Below are 13,188 nucleotides of genomic sequence, written 5' to 3'. Positions count from 1 at the left end.
AAAAGAGTGTTTTCAACAAGGTCAATTCCAGGCCCAGGGTTTGTCCAGGACAGCGGTCCATACTCTTTTTGGCACCAGGGACCTGTTCCATGGAAGACGGTTTTTCCATGGACCAAGGTTGGGGGAAGGTTTCAGGATGATTCAAACGCATTACATTTACTGTGCACTTAATTTGTGTTATTATTACATTGTAATATATAATTAAATAATTATAAAACCCACCATCATGTAGAATCAGTGGGTGCCCTGAGCTTGTTTTCCTGCAACTGGCTGGTCCCATCTGGGGGTGATGGGAGACAGTGACAGATCATCAGGCATTAGATTTTCATAAGGAGCGTGCAACCTGGATCCCTCACATGCACAGTTCACAACAGGGCTCAAGCTCCTATGAGAATCTGATGCCACTGCTGAGCTGACAGGAGGTGGAGCCCAGGCAGTACTGTGAGCCATGGGGACTGGCTATAAATACCGACAAAGTTTCACTCGCTCACTCACCCGCCACTCACCCGCTTACCTGCCACTCACGTACTCACTCACCCACCACTCACCGGCCACTCAACAGCTCACTCTCCCGCCACTCACCCACTCACCTACCTGCCACTCACCTGCTCACTCACCCACCACTCACCGGCCACTCAACAGCTCACTCACCCACCACTCACCTCCTGCTGTGCACCCCAGTTCCTAACAGGCCACAGACTGGTGTCAGTCCGTGGCCCAGAGGCTGGGGATGCCTGGTCCAGTGGGAAGACATGGGTGGGAGATCTGGGATGCCCATGGACTTTTACAGAGTGTGAGTTTGGGGGCAAACACACTTGGAGTTGGACCTCAGCTCTGCTGCTCACTAGCCAATGATCTCAGCTCACAGTGCTTAATGTTCTAAGCCTCAGTTTTCTCATCTGTAAAGTGGGAATCATAGCAGCAGTTCTCAGGGATTTGGTAGGGTAACCCACGTAAACATCCATCCCAGAGCCTGACGTGCCATGAGAGGCTCCACAGACACTGGATCTCAGCTTCTGCCCTGGAAGGAAGCCACTGTCCCCAGAACCACTTCCGGGCCAGAGTGAAGGCAGCTGGACAGCAGGAGGCCAGGCATTTGCAGGGGCGGTGCCTAGTCTCTGCAGCTGACAGCTGTATGGAACCCTGCAGTGTTCAGTACAAAGCTCCAGGATGTGAAGGATTTGTCAGCTCTCAGGCATGCAGCCCTGCCCTCACCCTCCTGTGATGAATTGGGCCAGGCAAACAGTAGAAATAGGAGCAGTCCCCTGGCTGTGCAGAAAGGCATCTGCCCACTGGGCTCCTGCTTGTCCCAAGGAACACCTCTTCCCTCCCCATGGCCCCAGGTCTGAGGCTCCATCCTCCTGGGACCAGAGGAGACATCTGGGCCCTGTGGAGTCCTAAACCTTGGCCACAGCATGACAAGGGCAGGGAGTGCTATTCCTGCTCTCTGAACCCACACTCGTTCTGGCTGCCATGTGTGTGCAGCACCATCTCTCCAAGCAGCCGTCTTGTGGCTTCCCCATCCAATGGGCCGGGATTTCCTTGTAATCAGCCAGGAAGCATTCCTACTCTGTCTGCCCCAACCCATCTCAAGAGGGCACGGAAAGGGCTGGGCACCTGCAAGCTGACAAACCCCATTGTTGTGGGAACATATGTGTTCTCGGGCACAGTTCCCTGGTGGTACAAACCGTTCACCTACAGCTTTGCCAGCTACATCGGAAGGGCCCCATTTCTGCCTCTCCTCCCAGAAGATCATGTCAAAGACACCAGCCTGGCCAAACCTAGCAGAGAACTGAGGGCCCAGTCTGGGGAAGAATCAGCTTTCTGCTAGAAGGAGGTGGGCCCTGAGGGGAGCAGAGGCTCTCCCTGGAACAGAGGAGCTGATGCTCAGAGGGGAGCCCAGGGCAGCCCCTGAGCTTGGTGCTGCTGAGGTGCAGGTCTGATGGGATAGAGGCTGTGCATGCAGAGGAGAGCGGGAAGCTGGGCCCATGCCAGTGGCCCTCCAAGTACTCACTTTGTTCATGCAGACCACCGGGCCGTGGTCTGCCTGGACTGAGGGGGTTCTCAGTGCCTCAACCCAGATAGCTCTGAGAAACTGGCAGGCCACGGAAATCATCCTGGCCTCCTCAGAAAGATCCAATAGTTCCCAATAATCCTGCCAGTAAGAATGCAGAGACAGAAGATGTACACACACACACACATACATGCGTATGCACATACACATGCATATATCTTTATGGGCACACAGATGTACACGCATATACATGTATACACACATATGCATCTATGTATACATACATACACACATATACACGTATATGCATCTATTGCACACATTTACACCTGCACATATACATATATACCAGACATCTATAGACACATATGCACACATACATGCACACATATACATATATACAGATACATCTGTATGTACATATGTGCATATTTTTGTACACATGCATGAATACATATGTAGATATACATATATACACATATATACATGCACCTACAGGTTGAGCATCCCAGATCTAAAACCCAAAATGCCCCCAAATCGAAAACTTTTTGAGCATAGGCCTGACCCTAAAGGAAAATGCTGATTTGGAGCATCTTGGATTTCAGATTTTTGTATTTGGGATGCTCAACCAGTAAGTGTGATGTAAATATTCTAAAATGCAAAATTTGAGACACTTCTGGTTCCAATCACTTCAGATAAGGAATGGTCGACCTTTATATATATTACACACACACACATTTTTGTGGCTTGTGATAGTCTGCTCTCTACTGTGTGCACATCTTCCCACACCTCTTCACAAAGAGGCTAAGTGGGCCTTTCAGGTGCACTCAGCATCAGCAGCTGGCACAAAACCACCTGGGCCGTCACCCAGCCGGTGCACACACAGCCACGGTGTGTGTGGAGAAGCACCAGACCCCATCGCTAACGCAGAACAGGACAGGGCTGGCCCCAAGCACTCGGGTCCCTCCTGCCTCAGAACAAAGCCAGGCTCACACAGACACTCCATGTCCCCAAGGTGGGGGCTCCTGGGGCCTCTGGCTGTGTCTCTCTCCCTTTTGAATTGCTTCTGTTCTGCTTTGCAAAACACTGCCTGGTCTTATTATTGAAGTTACTTTCTTGGGTTTATTAAGATTCTTCTTTTACTCAAATATTGACCAAGGCCTGCCCTGCCCCCACCGCTTAACTGGCAAACAGGCTGTGGAGCCATAACCTGACACTAGACATAACGACACAACGTTAATGACTTTAAACAACCGGGAGTTTACGTCGAATACATGTTCTATGTGTCTAATTTTCACCCCTGGTGCTCATTTAAATTCTTCGCATGTTTTAAAAATTTATGTCTTCCTTTTCCCATCTCCCTGAATTTTACTCCAGCCTAATTTATAAGAAAAATGTGCTTTGAACTTTTAACTAGGATGCTGGAGAACAAGCCACCTTTCATTCCTGATGAGCTGCGATCTTTTCCCTTTTCTTCAGACCTTCAGTTGATGATGTATTTGCACACGCACACACACACACACACACACACACACAGGAGTATATATATTTTTTCTATGCTTCTTAAAGAAACAACAAGTCCTTTTAAAACACCTTTCAAATGCACAGTATAAGAAGCACTGTGGGGGAGAGGAACAGAGACTCCCAGAGAAGGAGTTTCCTTAATGCTTACTGGAATTTGCTATTTTCTTCTTTTCATGGAAAATGTGTCTGAGAGCACCAGTACAGCTATTATCTGTATCCTGTGGCCTTTGTGGGTATTTCCAGGCAGAGAGAGGACTGAGTCTAGTGTGCAGAGCGGCACTCCCACCCCACGCTGAGGCAGCGCATCCCTCTGAGAGCTCAGGGGCAGCAAGGGCAGTGAGGGCACTGCATGGCGAGAGGGTAACCTGGATCACACCAATGTGGGATGCTTGTTGCCAGGCTCCACACACAGTGGATAAAACCAGCCTTCTCTCGTGAGTGAGGCCTAGACCTGCAGGGTGGGAAGAGGCAGGACTGGGAGAAGGGGGGCTGGGAGGAAGATGACATCGGATCTGTCTGCAGAAATCATCTGTCAAGAGTCAGAAGGTGTCAGATCTTGCTGAATGGTGGGTGGGTGGTCTCTGCATCACCTACTGGTCACCCAGTAGGGCGAGAAGGGTCAGAGGGGAGACTGTGTGCATGTGTGTGCAAGTGTGTGTATGTGTGTGCACGCGTGGGTCCTCACCTTATGTGTCACCCCTCATCTAGAGCTATTTGGCTGGGACCTTGGCATTCTCTGGAGCAGCTGCAGTTACAGAATGGAAGCTCCGTGCACAGTCTAGAATCATCTAGAGCTTTTTGGCTGGGACCTTGGCATTCTCTGGAGCAGCTGCATGGTTACAGAATGGAAGCTCCGTGCACAGACACTGGAGTTGTTCACCACTGCAGTCCCTAGAACTTGGTCTGACATATCATGAGTGCTCAGCAGGTACACAACGAATGAAGAAGTGTGTGGAAAGAAGGGAAGGCAGTCCTCACAGACATGGAAGAAAAATTCCCAGCCTTAGCAAATTGTTTCATGAAGTAGGAGGTTAATCCTCTCTGATATTAAGAGCTAATAAGCATTCTTAAGAGCTGTATGCCACCAAACTATGACTTCGCGGGGGCATTGGGTAAACAGGCCCCTCCACACCCGGTGAGGAATTAGATGCTACGAAATAAGGGCTTGCGCCTGTTTCTTAAGGAATCCCTTACTGTGCAATTTTTAAATTTCCCATAAGATCCTCTTTAATTTTAACTTCTAAATATAATAAGGATACATCAATATTATCTACTCTTGCATATGTTTCTACTAAATAATTTCAATAGTTTTTCTTGAGGAACTTTTAGAAAATGTTTATTATTTCACTGTCTAGGGAAAATGTTAGCAATGAAGAAATTACACCAAAAAGAAAAGTTGACATATTTTGCCATCATGAAAAACCTGCCCAGAGCTCCACAAAAAATCATGCAACAGTTCCCAATTCCAAAATATATTACAAAGCTATGGTTATTAAAACAATACACTACTGGCATAAAAACAGACTTATAGATCAATGGAACAGAGAGTCCAGAAACAACTCATACACTGCCAAGTGCTCCTTCATAAGCATGAGGAGAATACACCATAGGGAAGGGTCGCCTCTTCACAGGTGCTGGGGAAACTGGATGTCCACATGCAAAAGAACGGCATCGGACCCTCACCTCACATCCACAAAAACCCACTCAACATGGGCTAAAGACTGAGACATAAGACTGGAAACCATAAACGTACTAGAAGAAAACACGGGGGAAGCATGATGACATTCATCTAGGCAAAGGTTTCTTGGATCTGACACCAAAGGCACAAGCAACAGAAGCAAATGTGAACATGCAGGACAACATCAAACCAGTGAGCTCCTGCATCAGCAGGGAAACAATCAGCAAATCCAGAGGGCAGCCCACGAAAGGTAGGGTGAGTGGTGGGTGTGTGGTCTCTGCATCCCCTACTGGTCACCGGGGAGGAAATATTTGCATACCACATAACGGATAAGGAGTTAATATTTAAAATGTATAGGTGGCTGGGTGTGGTGGCTCACACCTATAATCCCAGCACTTTGGGAGGCAAAGGTGGGTGGATCACTTAAGGTCAGGAGTTCGAGACCAGCCTGGCTAACATGGCAAAACCCTGTCTCTACTAAAAATACAAAAATTAGCTGGGTGTGATGGCGGGCACCCGTAATCCCAGCTACTTGGGAGGCTGAGGCAGGAGAATCACTTGAATCTGGGAGGTGGAGGTTGCAGTGAGCCGAGATGGTGCCACTGCATTCCAGCCTGGATGACAGAGCAAGACTCCATCTCCAAAAAGTAATAATAATAAAATAAAATGTATAGGGACTTCCTACAATTCAATAGCAAATAATAATGATAACCTGATTTAAAAATGGGCAAAGGACTTTAGTAGACATTTCTCCAAAGAAGGCATACAAATGGCCAACACACTGTACATGGAAAGATGCTCAACATCACTAATGATCAGGAACATGCAAATCAGAGCCACGATGAGATACGTCTCTGTACCCATCAGGAGGCTGTGACCAAAAAGACGTGTGTTGGTGAGGATGTGTAGACTCTGAACACTTACATGCTGTTGGTGGGAATATAAATGGTGCAACCATTATGGAAAACAGTATGAAGTTTTCTCAAAAAATTAAAAATAGAGCCACCATATGATTCAGCAATCCCACTTCCAGATATTTATCCAAAGGAAGTTAAATCAGGACCTCGAAGTGACGGGTGCGCTCCGGAGTTCATCACGGCATTGTTCACAGGAGCCAAGACATGGAAGCACATGTCCCCCAGGGACGAGCGGGCAGGAAAGCGTGGTGCATAGACCCAGTGGGTGCTCTTCAGCCTTAAGACAAGACGGACAACCTGCCATCTGCAACAACAGGGATAAACCTGCATGACATGACGTGAAGTGAAACAAAAGCCAGGCCCAGGACAGAGGCTGCACGACGTCGCTGAAGCGTGGAATCTATGACAATTGAACGCACCGAAGAAGAGAGGAGGATGGAGGCTGCCGGGTCTGGCGCTGGGGGAAGCACGGGAAGGGGCCGTTCCAAGGGCACAAGGTTTCAGCGACGCGGCCTCAACGCGGTCTCGACATCTGCCGTACGGTTGAGAGCCAACAGTACCACGCTGCACACTCAGGGAAGTGTCAACACGGTGGGCCTCGCTACACGTTCTTAGCACACGGAAGTGAAGTCCCATGAAGGAAGCGGAGTCGGAGAGGGACGCCGGGGCGGGTTTCACGGTGGACGAAGGAGCTGCACGCCGAGAAGTCCAGCCAGGTGCCACAAGCCAGAAAAGGTCAGGAGCCGCCCCAGAGCGTGCGGCCCACCCAAGCCCTGACTTCAGCTCAGTGAAACCCATCTGGACCGTGGCCTCCTGTGAGAGAATAAATCTGTGTTGTTTTCCTGCAGGTTTCTGATAAGCCACGTGTGTTTTGGGGGAGACACAGGAAGCCAAGGACCAAGCACTTTCTGTGCGGCCGTTCTGTTCTTCCACTAAGCGGGCGTTTTCCTTCCCAGAACCCTCGGTGGAGGCATTCAGCAGCCGCCTCTCCTGTGAATTTTTCTTAAATATCATTTGGCAATAAATCATAGCGTGCCCATCAAATTTTTCCCTAGAGAAAATTATTATTTTTAGGCCTTTAAAACATTTGCTCTTTCCTTCTTCTAAGATGATGTTTGTTTTCATGCAGGCTAAGATGTTTTTACCTATACTCTATCACCCACAGATTTCTCAACCCAGTGGGGCAGAAATGGGGATTTGTGCTGTTTCATATGGAATTTGACATTAAAAAAATCCATGCAGCTGCTCTCACGGGGAGGATAATATCCCCCGCACCTGGGTTAACGCAGCACTCTCGTGATGCAGAGCCTCTCCGTGAATAAATAAACCTCGACAGCTCTTTCTGGAGACGGCAAAGCAGTGCTCCGTGGATGAGGCCGTTCATCCTGCCTCACCGCCGTTGCTCCTAACAGGGGTCGAGAGACTGATCTCGAAGGCAGCGCTAAGCGGAAGGCCTGATACTTTCAGCGTCGGTTCAGTTTCTGGTCTGGCGTAACTTGCACCGTGTAGCGGAATCAGATGAGAGGCACAAGACGCATTGTGACACCACATAAGCACCACAAAGAGAAAGCTGTGGATTGGGTATTGGGTATTCATATATATGTGCATATATATATGTGTGTGTGTGTGTATATATATGTGTATATATATGTGTATATATGTGTATATATATGTGTATATATATGTGTGTGTATATGTATATGTGTGTATATATATGTGTGTGTATATATATATATGTATATATATATTTTTTTTGAAACGGAGTCTCTCTCTGTTGCCCAGGCTGGAGTGCAGTGGTGCGATCTCGGCTCACTGCAAGCTCCGCCTCCCGGGTTCACGCCATTCTCCTGCCTCAGCCTCCTGAGTAGCTGGGACTACAGGTGCCCGCCACCACACCCGGCTGGTTTTTTGTATTTTTAGTAGAGACGGGGTTTCACCGTGTTGGCCAGGATGGTCTCGATCTCCTGACCTCGTGATCCGCCCGCCTCGGCCTCCCAAAGTGCTGGGATTACAGGCCTGAGCCACCGCACCCGGCAGGTATTCATATTTTAAAAGTTAAAAAAAGCAAAGAACCTCTTTCTTTCTCTAATAAGATGTTGATTAAATTTTAAGTGAACAAGGTACAAGAGGTGAAAACACAACATCTATTTCCACAGAACGTCCGTACGAGGGTGTTCCCAGGAGGAGGAGTGCGGCGGCCTGGGAGGCACATGGATGCCGAGTCTTTGGATCAGCAGAGGGTCGTTGAGTCGCTTTGAGGGGCCAGACACTGTTGTAGGAGCTGGGAGCGCAGCGGGGAAGCACGCTAGGGGTCCCCTTGTCGCGGAGAAGGGACAGGCACTATAGTGACCGGGTAATTTCTAGTAAGGTGTGATGTGAAGAAAGGAGAAGAGGGCACAGTGATGGAAGGTGGGGCTAAGCAGAGGCCTCTGAGCGTTAGGACGAGAAGAAGCCCAGCCTGGAAAGACCCCGGGGAGAAACACAGAGGCCACGCAGGCTGGCTGTGGTGCCTCTGAGGGATGGAGGAGGGCATCTGTGGTACCTCTGAGGGATGGGGAGGCCGCCTGTGGTGCCTCTGAGGGATGGAGGAGGCCGCCTGTGGTGCCTCAGGGATGGAGGAGGCTGCCTGTGGTACCTCTAAGGGATGGGGGAGGCCGGCTGTGGTGCCTCTGAGGGACAGAGGAGGCTGCCTGTGGTGCCTCTGAGGTATGGGGGAGGCCGGCTGTGGTACCTCTGAGGGACAAAGGAGGCCGGCTGTGGTGCCTCTGAGGGATGGAGGGGGCCGGCTGTGGTGCCTCTGAGGGATGGAGGGGGCCGGCTGTGGTGCCTCTGAGGGATGGAGGGGGCCGGCTGTGGTGCCTCTGAGGGATGGAGGGGGCCGGCTGTGGTGCCTCTGAGGGACGGGGTAGGCCGATTGTGGTGACTCTGAGGGATGGAGGGGGCCGGCTCGGGAGGTGGTTCGTGATGCCGTGTGTTGAAGGCTGTGGATCTTGTCCTTGGTGGGTGCAAAGCCAGCAGACATTTCCAGAGGGAGAGGGATGTGACTTAAATTGTGACTTAGAAAGTTCACTCCACGCTCAGAACACTGGGCCTGAGGAGCACACGCTGGAGTGGAGGCCCTGGGCCAGTCGGAGGGGCAGTGTGCGAGTCAGATGAGGGACCCGCACATGGAGCTGGGGCAGGACCTGCTGTAGGTCCCAAGGTGAGGAGGGAGCCCTGGGCTGGGTCTGCTCTGGTGGGGAAAATGAAATGTCTGCTTGGCCAAGTTACACTGGGGCCTGCAGTGGAGACGTTGAGTAAGTGGCTAGAGGAACACACGTTCAGCGTGGGGAGGTCTCACGGCAAGAGATGGCGATGTGGGGTCTTTGGAGCCTGGGGAGAGATGAAGGCCAGGCCAGCCCGGATCCGAGGCTGACAGCAGAGAGCAGGGCTGCTGAAGCCTCGGTGCAGGGAGGGCCCGTTGCCCTCAGCATCCCTGTCCAGCACCTCCCACCCACGCTCCAGCCTCACCCAGCCCTTCCTCCCCACGAGCACACAGCGTGCTCCTGCTCCTGCTGGCCCCACCCCGATGGTGGGCCAGGCCCAGCTGCAACCACTACCTCTCTGACCCGATGGGGTTGTCATGTCTGAAGGGCTTGCCACGTTATTCAGTCACATTTAGGGGCCAAATCTAGAAGTTGGAGAAGAAAGGAGGAGGGGGCAGCACCCTAGTCACAGGGGTGGTATTGAAGATGGCACGGGGGTCTCCTCTCCTGCTGCCTTCCTGGGAGAGGGACTGGAGGGCACAGGTGCTGAGAAGAAGTGGAGTCCCTGAGTGGAGCCGATGGGATGTGGAGGAAGGCCTGAGGAGCCGGTGGGACGCCCACCCTGCCCCACCCCACCCCACAGCACCAGCATCTGCTGATTGAGTTTAAATATCAACGGTTCAATGTGTAGAGCCATCTGTAATACTTTTAGCCCCAGATTCTTTCACATCAATAGGCAAAAAAGAGGTAATTAATAAAACGAACATAAAGTTCTAATTATAGGGTGTAAATATCGCTCTCAGGAGAATTATTAAGATGAAGGATGGGTTTTGTGATTAGGAGAAGAAAATAACCTGCCCAGGGGAATGGAAAGGAGGCAGACATTCTCAGACCAGAAGCGACGTGTGTGTGTGTGTCCGTGTGTGTCCATGTGTGTGTCTGTGTGTGTCCGTGTGTGTCTGTGTGTGTGGAGGGGCCACTGCTAACGACTGTACAGCCAAATGGGAGAAATGGCCGGTCTGTTACTGATGCAAACAAGAAAGCCAGCATGGTGACAAAATATTTAGCATGGGGACAAAGGTCACAGAGGCATCCTTGTCATCTCCCAGAGGTGACAAATCACAGGTTCGTCTCAGAGGCAATTTCACATTCCAAAAGGTAGAGAAATAATTCTTTTCTATTTTTATTTTTATTTATTTTTTTAGGACTGAGTCTCGCTCTGTCACCGAGGCTGGAGTGCAGTGGCACGATCTCAGCTCACTGCAACCTCCGCCTCCCAGGTTCAAACGATTCTCCTGCCTCAGTCTCCCGAGCAGCTTGGATTACAGGCGTGCGCCACCACACCCAGCTAATTTTTGTATTTTTAGTAGAGACGGGATTTCACCATATTGGACAGACTGGTCTCGAACTCCTGACCTCAGGTGATCCACCCGCCTCAGCCTCCCAAAGTGCCGGGATTACAGGCATGAGCCACGACGCCTGGCCCAGAGAAATAATCGTTAAAGAAATGTAGGAAGACAGACCTGGGGTCAAAGGAAAGATGAGCATAGTCCCCAGTCCTCCAGCTTGAGAGCTGCGGGGCCTCTGGAGGTTCAGAGGGGTCTCAGGAATGGGCTCAGAATTCAAGACTACAAAGGATGCTAAAGACAAAGATTCAGGCTCCAAAGAAAGGAAGGAGGACACATAGGAAAATGTAACTGACAGGTGCACACCCAGCCTGGCCCAACGCAGCCCCTCACCATGGTCTCAGGGCTCAGGGAGCTCCTGGAATGCAAGCTTCGCGTTGAAGGATCCCACAGGCCTGCAGGGCAGCTCTCTGGCCAGGCCCTGCCACCGAGTGGTACGTCCCACAGCACACCCAGGAGCCTGTGGCCGCCTCCCGTCCGGGCCTTGGAATTCCTTTTGGCTGACAGTCTTTGCCTGTGTGACCCTCACGGGATGCCTCCCACGACCTCAGCCTGTGACCCTCACGGGATGCCTCCCACGACCTCAGCCCATAAGCATCCCTGTGGCCAGCTTGTGTAACCTGCCAGGCAGGAGGCTGGGATGAAATTCTCACTTGCCACACCTTGTAAATATCAGGTGTAAATATCACCCTCAGGAGAATTAAGATGAGCGATGGGATGTCCTGCAGGCCCAGCAACAAGGCCGGACTCTCCTCCGCTTCATGAGAAAATGTGTGTTGTCATCAGATAGCCTTTGGGGCTGCCTGGGTGCAGATTCGAGGCTACCTACTTCTCATTTCACGTTGGAGGTTTCACGGATCCTACATATTGCAGAGAAACCTGAGGTCCGTTTTTGGTTTTGCTTTATAGTGATAAATCCGGGATGACACAGCCGTGGGCCGTGTTGAGGGCTGGGATTTCGGTGCAGTTGAATCCCCGGCTGTGGCCCCAGTGCCCGTTCATGGGCCCCTCCCGTGTGATTCTCCCAGCTGAGCCGTGAGTTCGTCTGAGCGGCGAGTCGGAACTCGAGGCAGATCACTCTTTGCTGTTGAGATGGTTGGATCAGTGTGCCCCAAAATCTCCTGTCGAACCGTAATCCCCAGTGTTGGGTGTGGGGCCTGGGGGGTGGTGACTGGACTTGGGGGTGATTTTTGAATGGTTTTGCACCACCCTCTCCTTGCTGTTCTCATGATAGTGAGTTTTCTGAGACCCGTGTGTTTAAACCTGGGTAGCCCCTCCCACCTTGCGCCTACGCCCACCGTGGGACGAGATTGCTTCCCTTTCGCCTTCCACCGTGACTGGAAGCTCCCTGAGGCCTCCCCAGAAGCAGAAGCTGCCGTGCTCCCTGTGCAACCTGCAGAGCTCTGAGCCGATTAAGCCTCTTTCCTAGAATCATCCAGTCTCAGGTGTTTCTTTGTAGCCATGGAGAATGGACTAATACCACTGTCAAAGATGGTCCAAGTTTGTTTCCTCTCTCCAACCAGATTTTTAACGTTTCCTTCTCTTCTCTGCGCCTTTCCCAGTGATGAGGACAGTGGCTTCCATGGGCAGGCGTTCAGTAAACAGCACCCAGTGAACTCAGAGCTGCCAGTTTACCCCGCAGGGGCAGCAGAGCTGACTAGGATTGGGTGTAGATGAGCTCAGAGCCCACAAGGCCCCACAGGGATGTCACCATCCCGGTAAAATGTGAGATTCGGGAATGAATAGGAAAATCATGTGCTTAGTGCACGTAACATCAGCAGTTGGGAAAGTTCACCGGGAAAGAAAAGCGCCACAAGTCCTCGCATCAATACTTGCAGAGACAAAATAACCTCAAGGCCGATCTTTCATGCCTGTGCCTGGGCATCCCCGCGTCTCTAAGGAGGACAGTTATGTAATTTAGATGGAAAATTGACAGGACTGGGCAGGTCCCTCTGATTGATGTGGAGGCCGTATCTCACGTCCTGGAACGCGTGTGTTTATTTGCTGTTTCACGGGGCGGGCCATTTTTCTCCAGCCAGGAAGGGTAGGGGTGTGCACCATAGGGCCTCTCCCAAGTTCGCCTCGGCGCCTGCCCCCCTCCATCACGGTGATCAGGTGTGGCCTTAGCCCCAGGTTTCTGAGGGCGTCAGCATCACATGTGTTTGTTCTGCTTCATGGGCTCCCTCCGTCAGGCAGGTCAGGGTGTGACATGCACCCCTTGGTGACCGATGGGCTGGCTGGGTCTCACAGAAGGTACACCAGGTGAGCTGCCAGGTGCCACCTCCTCCACCTCCCGCCTCCCGCCTCGTCCACAGGCTCAGGAACCCTCTGGGGATGAGCACAAGCACTTTCTTTTGAAAACGCCTCCATGGCGGAAGTTCCTTGGTTGGGGAGGACTTTGTTG

The 13,188-nt window shown here is 51.3% G+C and overlaps 1 protein-coding gene across 10 annotated transcripts in view, besides 2 other annotated features; it reads left to right on the top strand.

The window, feature by feature from the left end:
* PTPRN2 (protein tyrosine phosphatase receptor type N2) overlaps window positions 1-13,188 on the top strand; it is a 1,048,768-nt gene that overhangs the window by 778,984 nt on the left and 256,596 nt on the right. The window lies entirely within an intron of this gene.
* Window positions 11,238-11,738: an enhancer, noted in NCBI's record as "H3K4me1 hESC enhancer chr7:157589794-157590294 (GRCh37/hg19 assembly coordinates)". NCBI's record gives its function as "activates a minimal SCP1, AML or CMV promoter by ChIP-STARR-seq in naive H9 embryonic stem cells {active_cell/tissue: H9 hESC(naive)}" and the evidence as "EXISTENCE:reporter gene assay evidence [ECO:0000049][PMID:30033119]".
* Window positions 12,274-12,775: an enhancer, noted in NCBI's record as "H3K27ac hESC enhancer chr7:157588757-157589258 (GRCh37/hg19 assembly coordinates)". NCBI's record gives its function as "activates a minimal SCP1, AML or CMV promoter by ChIP-STARR-seq in naive H9 embryonic stem cells {active_cell/tissue: H9 hESC(naive)}" and the evidence as "EXISTENCE:reporter gene assay evidence [ECO:0000049][PMID:30033119]".

Source organism: Homo sapiens, chromosome 7 (genome assembly GCF_000001405.40).
Source record: "Homo sapiens chromosome 7, GRCh38.p14 Primary Assembly".
Classification (NCBI taxonomy): Eukaryota; Metazoa; Chordata; class Mammalia; order Primates; family Hominidae; genus Homo; species Homo sapiens.
This window is presented reverse-complemented; position numbering and strand designations above follow the sequence as displayed.